The 18,649-nt window shown below is 39.1% G+C and overlaps 1 protein-coding gene across 2 annotated transcripts in view; it reads right to left on the bottom strand.

The window, feature by feature from the left end:
- Positions 1-14,726: 14,726 nt before the first annotated feature.
- Positions 14,727-18,649, bottom strand: part of ABCB5 (ATP binding cassette subfamily B member 5) — a 141,342-nt gene continuing 137,419 nt past the window's right edge. For both annotated transcript variants that reach the window (NM_001163941.2, NM_178559.6), the window contains 2 exons: positions 18,229-18,375; positions 14,727-16,308 (listed from right to left, as the gene is read on the bottom strand). In NM_001163941.2, coding sequence (NP_001157413.1) covers positions 16,111-16,308; positions 18,229-18,375 — 345 coding nt within the window. In that variant the 3' untranslated portion in view covers positions 14,727-16,110. The remainder of the gene's footprint in view (positions 16,309-18,228; positions 18,376-18,649) is intronic.

Below are 18,649 nucleotides of genomic sequence, written 5' to 3'. Positions count from 1 at the left end.
AGCTTAGGAAATCTTATTTTGGAGGCTGGCTTGATAGTAGCACTCCCTGGGAAGTTAAATAGTGTACAGGCTCCCACAAATTGCCCTACTTATCTTTCCATTTTACTTTGTTTTATAAAACCAATTAGATACTCGTTTGGGTTAATAAATATTTCTTTAAAAATATAATTGCTTCTGTGAATTATAAGGGAAGCATTCATATATAAGTACAAATTTGTCTAATCATATCACCTCCATCCTAAGCCATAGATTTTCCATTTCAGTAAGTTTTTTTGGAGACAATTGCATGCTCACTGAAAAATATAAGAAATTGTGAAGAAGCAGGGAAAACAAATTACCTTAATCCTACTTCTCAGACACAACAATTGTGTTGTTACCTACAATCTTTTTTCTATGTGGTTTTTTTCTTACATACATGTGCAAGATTGTAACCTGCTTTCCCCTCCCCGCCATAATATTAAAATAAATTTTCCTTACTATTAAAAATTATTGGCCAGGTGTAGTGGCTCACATCTTTAATCCTAGCACTTTGGGAGGGCAAGGCGGGCGGATCACTTGAGGTCAGGAGTTCGAGACCAGCCTGCGCAATATGGTGAAACCTGTCTCTACTAAAAATACAAAAATTAGCTGGGCATGCCAGGCACGGTGGCTCACGCCTGTAATCCCAGCACTTCAGGAGGCCGAGGTGGGCGGATCACAAGGTCAGGGGATCGAGACCATCCTGGCTAACACAGTGAAACCCTGTCTCTACTAAAAATACAAAAAAAAAAAAATTAGCTGGGTATGGTGGCGGGTGCTGTAGTCTCAGCTACTCGGGAGGCTGAGGCAGGAGAATGGCGTGAACCTGGGAGGCAAAGCTTGCAGTGAGCCGAGATCGCGCCACTGTACTGCAGCCTGGGTGACAGAGCGAGACACTGTCTCAAAAAAAAAAAAAAAAAAAAAAAAAAATTTAGCTGGGCATGGTGGTAGGCACCTGTAATCCCAGCTACTTGGGAAGCTGAGGCAGGAGAATCTCTTGAACCTAGGAGGCAGAGGTTGCAGTGAGCCGAGATTGTGCCACTGCACTTCAGTCTGGGCGACAGAGTGAAACTGTCTTAAAAAAAAAAAAAAAAAATTCTCTGCAAGCTTTATCTTAAATGGCTAAAAATACTGTATGGGATGCATGTATTAAATATGCATATATTAAAATTTTACCTACTCCTGTAATACTGAATATTTAGTTTTTTTCCCACATGATCAATATTATACACAAGGCTGCATAGAACATCCTTGTGCATGACTTCTTGTTTTAATATCTGATTGTTTCCAAAGGAAGGAATTCCTGAGGAATAAGAACATTTTAAAGGCTGTAGATAGAGATTAGATCTAGATCTAGGTTACTCCCCAATAAGTATGTAGCAGTTTATATTCCAACAAACAGTGGTTTAGAGAATCAGCCCTGAATTCATAATTTTTTTCCTTTTTTAAAAAATAAATGAATCTCATTATTGTCTAATAAATTTTAGAGCCCTAAACTTTTTTTCATGTTTACTTGCCATTTTAATGTCCTCTTTCATGAATTGTTTCTCTGTGGCTATCCTGCTTTGAGAAAGAGAGTCCCCTTGACCACAAAATGAGGTAGAAGATCTGGCCAAGCAGTATGTTCTGTGGGAAAAGAGTGCTGATTCTGGAAGCAGAAACTCACTTCAAGCCTTTGCACCACATAGTTCCTTTAAACTGGGACTGGAAAGTCATTTTCCCTTTATTAGTCCTAGATTGACTACAGTAAGTAGCAAAATGCAACTTTATGTTATTCACAAAGGAATTTTGCGGGACAACCCATTGTTTCAGTAAAGAGTGGATATTATTTTGCATTGTCATATGATACTAAAATATAGATTCAATTGAACATATCTGAATCTTAAATTCTACTAAGTGTCTTTTATTGTGGCAACCTCTATAAAAGCTGTAACTTTGTGACCAGTTGTAGAAACAAGAAAAGACAGATAAAAAAGCTTTTAACTGATTAAAAAGCAAAGAAAGAAAAACTCAATCAATCAATGAGTCTACAGAATGCCAAAAAAACTTAAGATTTTTATATTTTAAAGCCGGGCGCAGTGACTCACGCCTGTAATCCCAGCACTTTGAGAGGCGGAGGCGGGCGGATCACGAGGTCAGGAGATTGAGACCACGGTGAAACCCCGTCTCTACTAAAAATACAAAAAATTAGCCAGGCGCGGTGGCTGGCGCCTGGAGTCCTAGCTACTCGGGAGGCTGAGGCAGGAGAATGGCGTAAACCCGGGAGGCGGAGCTTGCAGTGAGGTGAGATCGCGCCACTGCACTCCAGCCTGGGTGACAGAGCAGACTCCGTCTCAAAAAAAAAAAAAAAAAAAAAAAAGGGATATTTATATTTTACTTTGTTAACTGATTTAGGTAGATATTTTGGTCTCTGGCTGCATGAAGCTACAAAATTGACCTTTAAATCAAATTCATTCATTTATGGCCACCATAGATAATAACTTTGATTTGAATAAACTATGATAGCTAGAAAAAACGATCTACTTAAAAATTCTGGGCCGGGCACAGTGCTCATGCCTATAATCCCTGCACTTTGGGAGGCCCAGTCAGGAGGATCACTTGAGGTCACGAGTTCAAGACCAGCCTGGCCAACATGATGGAACCCTGTCTCTACTACAAAAATTAGCCAGGTGTGGTGGCGTGTGCCTGTAATCCCAGGTACTGGGAAGGGGTCGGGGGCTGAGGCAGGAGAATCACTTGAACCCAGGAGGTTGCGGTGAGCTGAGATTGCATCACTGCACTCCAGCCTAGACAACAGAGTGAGACTTTGTCTCACAAATTAAAAATAAAAATGAAACTTCTGGTATTTTATGGCCATTGGGGAAATAACATACAACAGTTAAATCAGATCTAGTTAATCATTATTTCTAAGTCAAGTTTCGTATATAATGCTATATAATTGAGTTATTCTTCTGCAAGTATGAAGTTCTGTAATACAAAATGACATATTCATTAGCACTTGAAAGAAATGTTACATATCAACACCAAAAGTCTTCAATCTTGAGTTGTTGAGGGGAGAGAAGGGAAAAGGATGATGAGCTTGGACAATACGATTTCTCTAATACAGCCTCAGCTTGTAGTAGACACAAGCTTATCTTATAGTGATGTTTTAAATAATATTTTTGCTTTTGTTTAAAAATAAAAATTAAATCAACAAATACTGAATGCTTACTTATTGTTCAGTAATTTATTTGGGGTAAAAATAAGCCTTGCACATGATCATGAATCACAGTCATAATTTGAGAACTTATAATTGTAAAACAAAAGTAAAATATTGCTTGTGTTATTTCTTTTTCTTTTTTCTTTTTTTTTTTTTTTTTTGAGATGGAGTCTTGCTCTGTCACCCAGGCTGGAGTGCAGTGGCCCGATCTCGGCTCACTGCAAGCTCTGCCTCCCGGGTTCACGCCATTCTCCTGCCTCAACCTCCCGAGTAGTTGGGACTACAGGCGCATGCCACCACACCCGGCTAATTTTTTGTATTTTTAGTAGAGATGGAGTTTCACCACGTTAGTCAGGATGGTCTCGATCTCCTGACCTCGTGATCCGCCCACCTCGGCCTCCCAAAGTGCTGGGATTACAGGCGTGAGCCACCGAGCCCGGCCTTCTTGTGTTATTTCTTTAAGAAAAAAGTCGTCATTTGAAAAAATAATCACCCCATCATCCTACCCTGACTCTAAAATGAACTATTTAAAAATTTAACAATATGTAGGCATTATAGTTTTATAATTTTAAAATGCTCAAAGTGTGTCACAATAACTTAAACTTTGGTCTGTATGTGTACATGTATTTACCCAGAATTAAATCTTATCTATTTTTGTCTAAAACTATTACAAGAGGGAAGAGGTTAGTTTAGTTTTTCCTTCAAATAGAGTTACTTGATTATTAAGCAAATTTAAATGTTGCATTTTGTATAGCATTCTAAAAGGGTTCACTGATGGTGCTAGATAGACTTTTTAAAAAGTAACAGCTCTTTCTTTTAACTGTACATAAGAAATTCAGAATACACCGAAAAGAAACTAAAAAATGGAGGCAAGAGCCTATGTCTTTTTTTTTTTTTTTTTTTTTTTTTTTTTTTTTTTCCAAGACAGGCTGAAGTGCAGTGGCATGATTGTGGCTCACTGCAGCCTCGACCTGCCAGGCTCAAGCGATCCTCCCACTTCAGTTTCTCAAGTAGCTGGGACTACAAGCACGTGCCACCATGCCTGGCTAATTTTGTTTATTTTTTGTAGAGATGAGATCTCACTATGTTGCCCAGGCTGGTCTCAACTCCCAGGCTCAAGTGATCCTCCTGCCTGGGCCTCCCAAAATGCTGGGATTATAGATGTGAGCCACTGCGCCCCACCTCCTATGTCTTTTTAAAACTATTGTATATTATAAGAGAGAAAATAAGTTAGCATTTATTGAACTTCATTAATTGTTCCATCCATACTCCAGTTTAAAACTCCTACTCATGAATTCTGTATATAAAGTGACTGATTTTATAGACAGGGTTTTGTTTTGTCTAGAACAATGCTTCTCATCCTTTTTTGGATTAACAAACTTTTGAGATTCTGACACCAGCTATGGACATTCTCTTAAAAGTTTGCTCATCACTGTACCTCTTTGATGCCACTCAGTGGACCCCAGACTTAGAACTAGAGGTGAGCTGTTGGGTCCTTAGTTTATATGCTCTACTAAGATGTTAGACATTTTAGAAGAATTTACTTGAATACATCTAACTGTTTTTTATCTTTGGCTCTATAATCTACATAGAAAAGAATAATGTAGGAAAAGGTTAACTCTTGTCTGATAGACTGGATTTTCTGCAAAGGTTCCAATTTTCATTGAAGGAGCAACCTGAAATACAATAGATATAAGAGAAAAACCATGGTGTATTGTCTTTCTATTTCAGAAGTGCATGATCAAAATTTCGTGATATTTGCACTTCTCTTGCTGGTTTGTCTATGCTGGGTTTCTGATATAATTTATTAGTGGTCTCTCCAAATGGTTTTATTTTGTCTAGGCTAATGTCATAAGAACTTCTGGTAATATATGAAAATATATAAAATTTTATAGCCCATCACAAAACATCCCAATTTTAAAACAATGTCATTACTTGTAAATGACAAGAGCGAAACTCCGTCTCAAAAAATAAATACATAAATAAATAATAAATAAATAATAAATAAATAAAATAAATAAATTTAATGTGTAACACTTTTTTTTTAGGTTTTCTGAGGATTTGAAAGTGGAGTATTTTATACTTCCAGTCCTAAGCTGTATTTATTTTACAATATTTAGAAAGTCATTCATATGATTAGGAGCCTCACTATATGTAAGCAAACTGCAACCACTTTTTTTTTTTTCTTTTTGAGATGGAGTCTCACTATGTTGCCCAGGTTGGCCTTGAACTCCTGTGCTCAAGCAATCCTCTTGCCTCAGCCTCCTGAGTAGCTGGGACTATAGGTGCTCACTGCTGTGCACGGCTCCAAACCACTTTTGATGACTCCACCTTAGCCAACACTTCACCCAATGCATGTGTTACTACTTTTTTTTTTTCAGTTCAATATTGTAAGTCTGCCTTGGTTTTAGCACGATAAAGCTATCAAGATTTTTTTAAATCTTAACTAAAGAGAGGAATGATACATCAGCAAGTGGGTTGCAAATGGAACAAAAGAATTTCGATAAATACCCTGAAAGTAAAGATAGCAGGGATGATTCAACAGTGAGAGACAATCTGTGTAGAAGCCAGGGTCTAATCTCCCCGTACACTTTGGAGTATGTTTTTTGGAAGGTAGAGAAAAATGAAGAGTCACAGGGAAAATGTGTTATTGCTGGAGCAGCTGTATTCCTAAGGCTTCCAAGCTGTAATTGCATTATGTACAAGATATTTTTTTTCAGAGTGTAGGTAGGCAGAAAAAATCTAGTTTCGCGTTAAAATAACCAAAGAAGAACTGTGTACCTTTGTATTTTTGCAATGTAAGGAGGAGGCAAACAGCAAGTTACTTCTATATGTACAACTCAAAAGTACCTTACTGTTTCCAATTCCATCTTAGAGAGACAATGAATTAGCTCAGTGTGGCCTATGGAGTCAGATTTTTCTGCATTGAATCCTCATTCTGTCACTTCCTTGCTATTTGACCTTGGTAAGGTTCCTTAACTACCCAGTGCCGCAGAGTTTCTCCATTTGGTAAAATTTGAATAACAATAGAGTGTATCTTCTTGTCAGTAAGTTAATGCCTATAAGGCTCAACCACTTATTAAGCCTGATATATGTGTGTTCAATAAATATGAATTTATTTTAATAGTTCTAGCTTATTTCTTCTTCTTCTTCTTCTTCTTCTTCTTCTTCTTCTTCTTCTTCTTCTTATTATTCTTATTATTATTATTATTATTATTATTATTATTATTATTATTTTGAGACGGAGTCTCGCTCTGTGACCCAGTGCAGTGGTGTGGTCTCAGCTCACTGCAACCTCTGCCTCCCGGGTTCAAGTGATTCCCTTGCCTCAGCCTCCCGAGTTCTTAGGAGTACAGGCGTCCACCACCATGCCCAGCTAATTTTTGTATTTTTAGTAGAGATGGCGTTTCACTATGTTGGCCAGACTGGTCTTGAACTCCTGACCTCAAGTGATCAGCCACCTCGGCCTCCCAAAGTGCTGGAATTACAGGCATGAGCCACCTCGCCTGGCATTTCACATTATCTTATTGTTACTACTTCTAAGTGATAGAAACATTCCATTTGACAATTCTCTCTGCATTTCTCAATATCCACGTGGATTTCCAGAGTTATTAATTGAACAATTTATCTTCTCTTTGTTACTTTGGAAGTTTCTTCTTTGGCATCTTTGGGAACATGTTGACCATGCTCTGATTCTTGGTGACCACCTTCCACTTCTCCTCTTTTCCTTTGGCCTCTTATGAGAGACAGGCTCCCTGCCCTCCCCTTTTTTTGGCTAATTTGTTACTCACTAACCCATCTCTTCTCAGGGGGACATAGCTCTAGGAAATTGGAGATTAAAGGAATTTATGAAACTAATGTGGACTAGGTGTAATTCTGCCTGAACTGGGGGTGTAGGACTAGGAATTTAAATTTACATGTGTAGGCCAGGTGTGGTGGCTCATGCCTGTAATCCCAGCACTTTGGTAGGCCGAGGCAGGCAGATCACCTGAGGTCAGGAGCTCGTGACCAGCCTGACCAATATGATGAAACTCCATCTCTACTAAAAATGCAAAAATTAGCCGGCAGGTGGCATGCACCTGTAATCCAGCTACTTAGGAGGCTGAGACAGGAGAATCGCTTGAACCTGGGAGGCGGAGGTTGCAGTGAGCCGAGATCACACCATTGCACTCCAGCCTGGGCAACAAGAGTGAACTCCATCTAAAAAATTAAATAAATAAATTTAAATGTGTATCACTTTTTTTTTTAGGTTTTCAGAGGATTTGAAGGTGGAGTATTTTATACTTCCAGTCCTAAGCTGATTACTAGTGTGTATTACATTTTTAAAAATTGTTTGAGTGTATTCAAATATTCAGTCTGTCTCCCTTCCTTCCTTCCTGCCTGTCTTCCTGTCTTCCATCCTTTTTTTTGCTTCATTTGTCCAGAATGTTCTGGTAATTTAACAGTTTCAACCATTTTCCTAAAATCTCTTGACTTTCAACTGGGTAGAAAATATTTCAGCCATGCATTGTTTTACTGTGATGTAGTAAAGTTAATTAGATGAAATACCCCCCATTCAGTAGCAAATTTTACCTGGCTCAGAAATAATGGCATTCATCATTTAAATATAAAATACACAGACTGGCTTATTAGACTTTCCCTAAGTCTAACAGTGCAGCAGTCAATGCATGCATTTACAGTTTTAAACACCCAATTGTTCGTCTAACTTTGGCTTTTCTGAAATCTCAGTAAACTAACATCTTCTTTAAGCAGATACTCACACAGTTTAAAAAGAAAAACATTTAGTAGGATTAAACTGAACCTTGATAATTAAGTATAAGTCACTAAGAAAACGTGCCCAGCAAGCTCAATTTCACTGGCGATGCTTTTCAGAATATTTCCACAGACGTTACAGTCAAAGTACTATGCTTTTTTCTAAGAAGTGTGCTGCTTTCTCCATTTTTCTTGGCTTGAAATTCTCATATTTCTGCAATTTTCTCCATACAAAAAGTATCTGAATCCCCAAGACTTATATGTGTAAGTAAACACTAAAGAAAAACAGACTCCTACCTTGAGCTGAGTTCAATCTTGTTTTAGGGATGTGGATACAGAATATTTTCTGGGTGTGCCTGGTTAATTTAATGAGACCATGCAGCTGCTGCCAAAATTTTGGTTTGGTCCTCACATTGATCCAGTGCACTCTGTGAGCCATGACTGCATCAGCTATCTTGCTGAATAAATTGTGGACAGAAGACCTTGGTGCTACAATCAACACTCTAGGCTCTGGTGTTAGAAAGAAAAGTTTCTGAATCAGATTCTAACTCTCAACAAGTTACTTAATTTCCTTAAGCTTTAGTTTTCTTTAAAAATAGATAGTATCAATAATATCTGCCATTATAGAGTCAATGTGAGGACTAACTGAGATAATGTACTGAAAGTGACATGCCATTTCATTTTAAAAAATCGGCCATCATTAGAAGCAGTGGTCTGAAATAGTTTTAGGAAAATTCAAAAGTGTACTGGCTTAATAGTTTGTGAAGCTCATATACTTACAGTGTTAACGATGCCGTTTTAACTTGCTGGCAAATAAAATTATTTAGTAGAAAGAATAATGATGCTAAGACAGTAGAATTTAGTGCCAGGTATAGGGGCTCACGCCTATAATCCCAGCACTTTGGGAGGCTGAGGTGGGTGATCACCTGAGGTCAGGGGTTCAAGACCAGCCTGGCCAACATGGGAAACCCCATCTCTACTAAAAATACAAAAATTAGCTGGGTGTGGTGGTGGGCACCTGTAATTCCAGCTTCTCAGGAGGCTGAGGCAGGAGAATTGCTTGAACCCAAGAGGTGGAGGTTGCAGGGAGCCAAGATCACGCCACTGCACTCCAGCCTGGGTAACAGACCAAAAGCCCGTCTCAAAAAAAAAAAAAAAAAAAAAAGTAGAATTTACTATAAGCTTTTAGTAAATAAATCTAGTCTAGGACAAAAGGAAATAGCAGCAATAGAGGAATTTGTAGCACAAGAGAGAAAGACAAACACCTTCCAAGTCCTGGCCCAGCATCAGTGTAGGGTTAGCATGTTGCAATGGAAAACGCACATGACTTGAAGGCCAGATATGTGAGTTTTTGCTCTTTCTGTGTATAATGATGACGTTGGATTGAACTTTTACTCAGCACAAAGCTGTGAAAAATTTGGCTTGCCTTCTCCATGGAATAAAAATTCAAATAGATAGGCTTTGTGGAAGGCTAAGTAACAGCCTTCTGCAAATGCCTGCATCCTCTTTCCTGGAACCTGTGGACATGTGACGTTACATGGCAAAAGGGACTTTGCAGATGTGATTAAGTTTAAGATCTTTTTTTTTTTTTAAGTTTAAGAATCTTGAGATGGGAAAATTATATTGGATTATCCGTGAGGGCCCAGTGTGATCATAGGGGTCCTTATAAGGGTAAGAGGATGGCAGAGGCAGAGAGAGATGGAGGTTTGATGAAGGAAGCAGAGGTCCAAGGAATGCAGGCCATCTAGAAGCTTCTGGAACTGGGAAAAAGAACAAGGAACAGATTCTTCTCTAGAGACTGTAGAAGGAATGACACCTTTGATTTTAGCCCAAAGGGACGGATTTTAAACTTTTGACTTCCAGAGCTGTAAGATAATAAATTTGTATTCTTTCATCATTATGTTTGTGATAATTTGTTACAGCAGCATTAGGAAGTTAATATGGGCTTCATCAGTGTGGCTTTGCTAAAAGGGGGCAAGTTGAGGTACTATTTATAGACTTGAGGTACTATTTATAGATATTTGGTTGATCCATGCATTTTTTATAATTATGGTTTTTAAATGAGCTTTAAAATTTGTGGTAATTATTACAAATGGCAGAGAAATAAATAAAGGCTTGAAAGCTACTGTATACCCCAAACCCTCTACCCTCATTCCTCCATTTCCAATCTTTCCAGTTTCCTCTCTGGACTATTTCCAATCAATTTATAATTCCACTTCACAAACCCTCTTGGAATAAGAGCTCAGAACCAAAGCAATGAATACATAAGTTGACAATAACCTAGGAAATATTTTCATAGAATAGGTCATGTGTAACGCTATGATATACTCTGCATGCTGTGAAACTGACACATTGAGTAGGCTGCGAATCAGTTTATTAGCTATGACCTAAGTTGATTTAACATGAGAACATACCATAACTTGTTTTAAGGAGTGGTAATATATAAAATAGGTTGGCTGGGTTAGTTTTAAAACAGGTGTGATGTTCTTTTGTTTCTTTTCACTGACATCTGTGTCATACCTTATCCTTGTTAAATTGTTTTTATTCCACTGGTATCCTCATTGGTGTTTCAATTATTTTAAGACTCACTGAGCAGCCTTCCCTCTTACAAAGAAAGGGCAGTTTAACAGATAAGATTTGATTGCTGAGAGCTACTGTAACAGCAGTCCCTAACCTTTTTGGCACCAGGGACCAGTTTCCTGGAAGACAGTTTTTCCACGGACCGGGGAAGTGGGGCAGTGGTTTTGGGATGATTCAAGTGCATTTTTACATTTATTGAGTACTTTATTTCTATTATGATTACATTGTAGCATATAATAAAATAATTATACAAATCACCATAATGTAGGATCAGTGGGAGACCTGAGCTTGTTTTCCTGCAACTAGATGGTCCCATCTGGGGATGATGGGAGACAGTGACAGATCATCAGGCATTAGATTCTCATAAAAAGCACGCAACCCAGCTCTCTCGCATGTGCAGTTCACAATTGGGTTCGCGCTCTTCTGAGAATCTAATGCCACCGCTGATCTGACAGGAGGCAGAGCTTAGGCAGTAATGCTAGCCATGGAGAGCGGCTGCAGCTGTAAATACAGATGAAGCTTCACTTGCTTACCCACTGCTCACCTCCTACCGTGCTTCACTTGCCTACCCACTGCTCACCTCCTGCTCTGCAGCCCGGTTCCTAACAGGCCATGGATTGGTACTGGTCCGTGGTCTGGGGATTGGGGACCCCTGCTGTAACACACTAACATTTACAGATGACTCTGATGGATCTTGATCTCTCTGGACAGCTGCCTTCATTGTATTTAGGATTTTCTAGGCCAGGTGTTTTTTCTTTTTTTTCCTTTCCTTTTCTTTCTTTCTTTTTTTTTTTTTTTTTTGAGGTAGAGTGTTCCTGCGATGCCCAGGCTGGAGTGCGGTGGCGCAATCTTGGCTCACTGCAACCTCCGCCTCCCGGGTTCAAATGATTCTCCTGCCTCAGCTTCCCAAGTAACTGGGATTACAGGCATGCACCATCATGCCCGGGTGATTTTTGTATTTTTAGTAGAGACAGGGTTTCACCATGTTGGTCAGGCTGGTCTTGAACTCCCGACCTCAGGTGATCCGCCCACCTCGGCCTCCCAAAGTGCTGGGATTACAGGTGTGAGCCACCACGTCCGGCCTTGTTATGTTGTTTTAAACTGGTGTTTCATTCTTTCTTCTAGTCTCTTGTTTTATAACTATAAGCAAGCCCAGAGGTAGAGGAGAAGCAAAGGGCAAGGACGCTCAGACAGTTTGGATTGAGGTCAATCCAAGTAAGGAGTAGGCTATGAGTCATGACTGGCAGAGATCAGTGTTTACCTTAGACCAGAAGTCCTTGAAACTAGGGAATATGCCTTAATCTAGACAAAAGCCTTGTGGGAAATTAGACTCACAATGTTCTAAAATAAATCAGGCGATGTATGCTCAAATACCAAATTATTTCAAAATTAAATAAATTAAACCAACACATAAACTATGATAAAAGGCTAAAATTAATTAAAATAAAATTAAAAATTTATTTAACTAAAATTAAAATTGCCATCCGAATGGAAAGAAAAAGTTTTTATGGACTTAAACGAGTCTAGCCTAGAAGTAAACTATCGAGTATGTCACCAATGACTGATAATACCCATGACGGAGAGATTCTAATACATGATTGTTGAGGCAAAACAACTGAAGCCCACCAGGTCATCTTTTCAGTAAGTGTGTGCTCATCTTAGTATCAGTAATGCATACCTGCTATGATTTTTGACTTTTCAAACTGAATCACCTAGTATTTATTGAGTATCTACTATATCCAAGGCACTATAAGAAGACAACATGTCTTAAATTCACTGATTTGGTGCCCTGAATAATCTGGCATTCATTGCTTAAAGCCCTTTAGTAAATACCAAGTTGTAAGCTGTACACCTAAGCATGGTATTATTTAATAATTTATAAAATATTTAATGAGCGATTTAACATGTAAAACTTACATTTAAATCTGCTGAAGTATGGGCATAAAGATGGCAACGATAGACACCAGGGACTACTAGAGTGGGGAGCGAGGGGGCCAAAGGTTGAAAAACTATCTATTGAGTGCTGTGCTCACTACCTGGGTGATGGGATCAATTGTATCCCAAACCTCAGCATCATGCAATATACCTATGTAGAAGGAACTCCACATGCGAATCTAAAATGAAAGTTAAAATTATAAAAATAAATAAATACATCTGCTGAAGTACCATTTTGTTTATTTATTTTAGATAAAAATATCAATTCCTAATGTAGCTTCTTTTTTGGGCTGGGAACGGAAGTGGGAAGTAGGGGTGATAGAATCTCCCTCTGTCATCCAGGCTGGAGTGTATTGCACCATCTCTGCTCACTGCAACCTCCGATTCCCAGGTTCAAATGATTCTCCTGCCTCAGCCTCCTGAGTAGCTGGGACTACAGGCATGCATCACCACACCCCACTAATTTTTGTATGTTTAGTAGAGACAGGATTTCACCATGTTGGCCAGTCTGAAATCAAACTCGTGGCCTCAAGTGATCCGCCTGCCTCGGCTTCCCAAAGTGATGGGATTACAGGAGTGAGCCACCACACCTGGCCTAATTCAGCTTCTTTTTTGGCTACAGAATACCTTGCTTTAAGAAAAGTGTAGGGGCCAGGTGCAGTGGCTCACGCCTGTAATTCCAGCACTTTGGGAGGCTGATGTGGGTGGATCATGAGGTCAGGAGTTCGAAACCAGCCTGACCAACATAGTGAAACCCCATCTCTACTAAAAATACAAAAATTGGCCAGATGTGGTGGCGCATACCTGTAGTTCCAGCTACTTGGGAGGCTGAGGCAGGAGAATCACTTGAACCTGGGAGGCTGAGGTTGCAGTGAGCTGAGATTGCGCCACTGCACTCCAGCCTGGGCAACAGAGTGACTCCATCTCCCAAAAAAAAAAAAAAAAAAAAAGAAAGAAAGAAAAGGAGAGTGTAGGACACAGGGCAAGGTGGCTCACACCTGTAATCCCAGTACGTTTGGGGCCTACTGGGGTGGATCACTTGAGCCCAGTAGTTCCAGACCAGCCTGGGCAACATGGTGAAACCCTGTGTTTAAAAAAACAAAAACAAAAATTAGCCGGGTTTGGTGGTGCAGGCCCGTAGCCCCAGCTACTTGAGAGGCTGAGGTAGGAGGATCTCTAGAGCCTGGGAGGCCAAGGATGCAGTGAACTGAGATTGCACCTCTGCATTCCAGCCTGGGCAACAGAGCTAGAGTCTGTCTCAAAAAAAAAAAAGAAAAGAAAAGAAAGAAAAGAAAAGTGCAAGAATTAAAAAGTCATAAAAAGTCATGCCTATAAAACTGATAACTATTGTTTTAATGAAAATGATATATTTTAAACACAACTTTAAGAACAGTACAGCAATTTTAAACCTTTAAATTGTCGGCCGGGTGTGGTGGCTCATGTCTATAATACTAGCATTTTGGGAGGCCGAGATGGGCGGATCACCTGAGGTCGGGAGTTCGAGACCAGCCTGACCAACATGGACAAACCCCGTCTCTACTAAAAATACAAAATTAGCCGGGTGTGGTGGTGCATGCCTATAATCCCAGCTACTCAGGAGGCTGAGGCAGGAGAATCGCTTGAACCCGGGAGGCGGAAGTTGTGGTGAGCCAAGATTGCGCCATTGCACTCCAGCCTGGGCAACAGGAGCAAAACTCCGTCAAAAAAAAAAAAAAAAAAAAAGAAAAACCTTTAAATTGTGGCAACCCCTAAAAAGTAGTTGATCTCTACCTACTTTCTGCCTTCATCAGCTGATAACCTTACAAATCCTTAAAAACTCTTTGGGACCCCAATTCTCAGCATGATTGCTTGGTCCAGTGCAGGCAGTGGCTTTATTGATGAGAATTCTGCCTGTGAAGCGTTCTTTAAACTCATTAAAAATAAAATGGAAATAAAAACTAGCAGGGTTATACATTAGAAAGGAATGTGTTTTACTGCTATCTATAGGTATGGGACAGATGTTGATAGGTTCAAAGGGTAAGCAGGCATTTCAGGTACCATATTTGCCCCTCTAGGAGGGATTACAGAATTGGAGCCTGTGGTGCTCCTGCTCTGAGGTTCTGAGCATGTCCATACTATATTTTTATTTTCTTCTTGTCTACCCTACCCCGGGAAGAGAAGCTACCAAGAGCTCTATATCCATGAATAGCAAAATAACCACATGGCAGTCAGCACCAATGTGTCTAAGCAATGCATCTGATTCTCAAGTCCCCAATCTTATTTTTATTTTGCATTTTAAAGAAAGCAGCATAATATATAAATGGTTTTAATTTTGTTTAACAAGATTTCAATTATTGGTAGAGTACACTTTAGGGAGGCTAGCTAAATGTGTAAATGGAAGAAAATACACTGAAGAATAAAGATAAAATCACCAGGTGACATTACATATTTAAGTAAGTTGAAAATGTAACTCATTTTACCAATATTGTTATTTACACAGAACTTTAAAATCATTCACACATTATATATGATAAAGTATATATAAAATTTAAGGAAATTATTTTATTATAGAGAAAGACGTTTAAAAATTTTCACCCACAATAAAATTAGCTCTTATTTATTATTTTTTGAGATGGAGTCTCGCTCTGTTGCGCAGGCTGGAGTGCAGTGGTGAGATCTCGGCTCACTGCAACCTCTGCCTCCTAGGTTCAAATGATTCTCCTGCCTCAGCCTCCCAAGTAGCTGGGATTCCAGGTGCCCGCCACCAAGATTGGCTAATTTTTGTGTTTTTAGTAGAGACGGGGTTTCACCATGTTGGCCAGGCTGGTCTCGAACTCCTGACCTCAAGTGATCCGCCCTCCTCGGCCTCCCAAAGTTCTGGGATTACAGGCGTGAGCCACCGCACCCGGCCCAAAAGTAGCTCTTATTTTAAGTAAGTAAGTTTTCATAAACAGGTAGGCCTGTGACTTATACTGCCAAACCCAAGGTTTGGAATAATGAATCTTTGGGATGGCTCATGTGAGGCACTTCACTTACTGGTGAAGTAGGAGATAGCTACCTAATCCTCCCAGAAATTTTACATCGTAATCCTTTCTATTCCCTGCTCAACAAAAAAATAGAATAAAATTTAGAGAAATAGTGAATACTTATTGAGAGAAATCCCTACGGTCTGGAGAAAAGGGACTAGCAAAACTACTGTAATATGTGCTGCAAAACAAAATTCCAAGTGAAAGACACTCTCCCTGCAATGCTACAGGCCCCACTCTATCTTACACTGCCTTTGCTAAAACCTTCAACATGGTTAATTGGATAATATTCCCCCTGGAAACATATTTCCGATTTTATAGCAGAAGTTGATGGGAAATAAATTCACCTTGTAGAAAACTGCTTTACAAGCAAATGTGCTAGAATAGTTTTATAAAGTGAAGGATATAAGCATTATTTCACTTACATGAAATAAGCAAATTTTTGCTTCCTTTTAAAAATCTGAAGGTCAGATGGTGTGTGAATAGAACATGTATGTACTTGAGTAGCATGATTCTAGGTATTGATATATGCAATAAAAGAGATCAAAGCTTGCCAAGTAATTATTAAGTACTCCTTCTTTGCATTACACGAACATCAAAATATGTGCTACCTCAACAGCATCACTGCACTGACTGTGCATTCACTAACTTAAAATATATGTCTCGATTTCTCAGGAGCTCTTGATGAGTTCCTTGTTCCTTTATCTTTCCATTGTGCAGAACCACTATCAAATCTGCGTTCTGAATTGCAGAGAGCCTGTGAGTGACCACTAGGCATGTCCTTCCCGTCCTGGCTTTATCAAGGGCATGCTGAACCACCTGGAAGAGAGAAAGACCTGTGATCACCAGTTTGAGTTAGATGTTAGTAAACTTACCTAAGTCAAATCAATTAAGGTAGTCTAATAACCTTCTTTGCTTTATTTGCTTGTCCCCAAAGGAACTGCCCTACTTGTAAAATAATCACCTTACTCAATAGAAATCTAGAAATATTAACTACAGCTGGGCACATTGGCTCATGCCTGTAATCCCAGCACTTTGGGAGGCCAAGGCAGGCAGATCACCTGAGGTCAGGAGTTCGAGACCAGCCTGATCAACATGGAGAAATCCCATCTCTACTAAAAATACAAAATTAGCTGGGTGTGGTGGCAGGCATCTGTAATCCGAGCTATTTGGGAGGCTGAGGCAGGACAATCGCTTGACCCTGGGAGGTGGAGGTTGCCGTGAGCTGAGATCGTGCCATTGCACTCCAGCCTAAGTGACAAGAGTGAAACTCCGTCTCAAAAAAAAAAAAGAAAGATTAGCTACAGATAAATTATGTAAGACTTTCAGTGGAAAAGCATTTGTGAGAATGAATAAAAATGAAATAGTTGTTTATATGTTAGTGGTTCTAAACTCACAGTCAGGAAGTAGTATTTCTAAGTAGAATTATAGTAGTATTTCTACTACAATTTCTTTGAGTAGTTCTAATACTATTCAAATTTCTACTATCATTTCTTTGAGTAGTTCTAAACTCAAAGTCAGGAAGTAGTATTTCTAAGTAGTATACCTAAGTAGAATTGTCTAATTTATTTATCTAATTTTCTCTCATAGATTTTGTTTTGTTTTTGGTAGGATTTAGCTGTAGAACTGTCCTGTTAACATAGCATTTCAGCCAACAGTGAGGTTATGACGCTATATAGAGAAAGTGGGAGTGGAAGGTGAAAACCCATATTTGTTGAATACATAAAATGTTCCCAAGATGGATATCTCATTTAAATTCTTTCAATAACCTCATAAAATGACAGTATTTTTATTTTTCTGATAACTGAACTGAGGTTAGACCAAGGTCATACTGCTAGTAACTGATGAAGTAAGGATTACAGCCCAGATATGTCTGATCCCAAAAGTTAGTTGTTGTTTATTTTTCATAACACATTGTTGCTTTGAGAATCAAGAATAATAATCATCTTCAAGCAGCAATCATGGGTGGATTAACTGCCTGGGCTCTTAGGTCAGATACCCTCCATTAGAATTTAGAGAAGTTACTTAATCTAAGCCTTAGTGTGCCAATCTGTAAAATGGGCATGCTAATACAAGAAGCTCATTCGTCATGTTGTTGTGAAGACTGAGATAATAGCATGTAATGCATACTCTACAAATATTAATGATAACCATTCATTTAACCAATGTTCATTTACTAAATAAGTGCCTACATGTGCAAGAAACTCCTAAGGGATAAGGACATAGCAAAATCAAACAGCTGGAGAAGCTTGCTGTGCAAGTATTTTCTCATGTGTCACTTTGCCTCCTTGTTTCCCGCTCAAACTAGGCTGAGTCTGTAGAAGGTAGAATAACTCTCAGGCTCTGACCCTGCAGTGTAGATTACTCTTTTACCCATACTAATTACCTTATTAGTTTGTTTGGCATCACTGGAATAATAATAAAATTGAAAAGTTATTTTTCTTGGGCTCTTTCCTTGAATGAAAAAACATTTTGAAAATTGGTCCACTTTTGATAATGAGACAAATTTGAGTGAGAAAACCTTTCTGGAACATGAGATTCCCTCTGTCTCAACTGTCTCCCACCTCCCCACCACCTACTGACCTTTTTGTAAAGGTCCAAAGCCTTAATTGGAACTGGTGACCTTAGAACTACAATTCTTTCCAGGCCTTTGTTTTTCCAAACTTACCTTGGTTTCCTCCATGTTATTGGATGCTTATATTTGGTATTATATTCTGAGATAAAAGAAAATGATGTTACCTTCTCACTGTCATTATCGAGGGCTGAAGTGGCCTCATCCAACAATAAAATTTTGGGTTTTTGGAGAAGAGCCCTTGCAATAGCTAGTCTTTGTTTCTGGCCGCCAGAAAGCTGTGCTCCTTTCAGTCCAACTTGTGTGTTGTATTTCTATCACAGGAGCATGCAATTAAGAAAGCAAGTCTTGGTTATTTAAATTAGCATGGCAACTGTGGGCGAGAACCATCTAAATATTTCAAATTTTGCTACTCTTGAAAATTTGTGTCCCAACAAATGTTGAAATCTATTCTTGGGCTTTGTTGCAAATAAATGCTAAAGCCGCAGTAAACACTACCATCTCATTTACATATCCAATCTGATCAGACAGCAGACCTCTGCCATTATGCTTCCACAAAGAAATTTTTCAAATTAAAGCATAAGAAAA

The sequence above is a fragment of the Homo sapiens genome, chromosome 7 (assembly GCF_000001405.40).
Source record: "Homo sapiens chromosome 7, GRCh38.p14 Primary Assembly".
Lineage (NCBI taxonomy): Eukaryota > Metazoa > Chordata > Mammalia > Primates > Hominidae > Homo > Homo sapiens.
The sequence above is the reverse complement of the archived record's forward strand: the minus strand, read 5'-3'. Positions and strand labels throughout refer to the sequence as shown.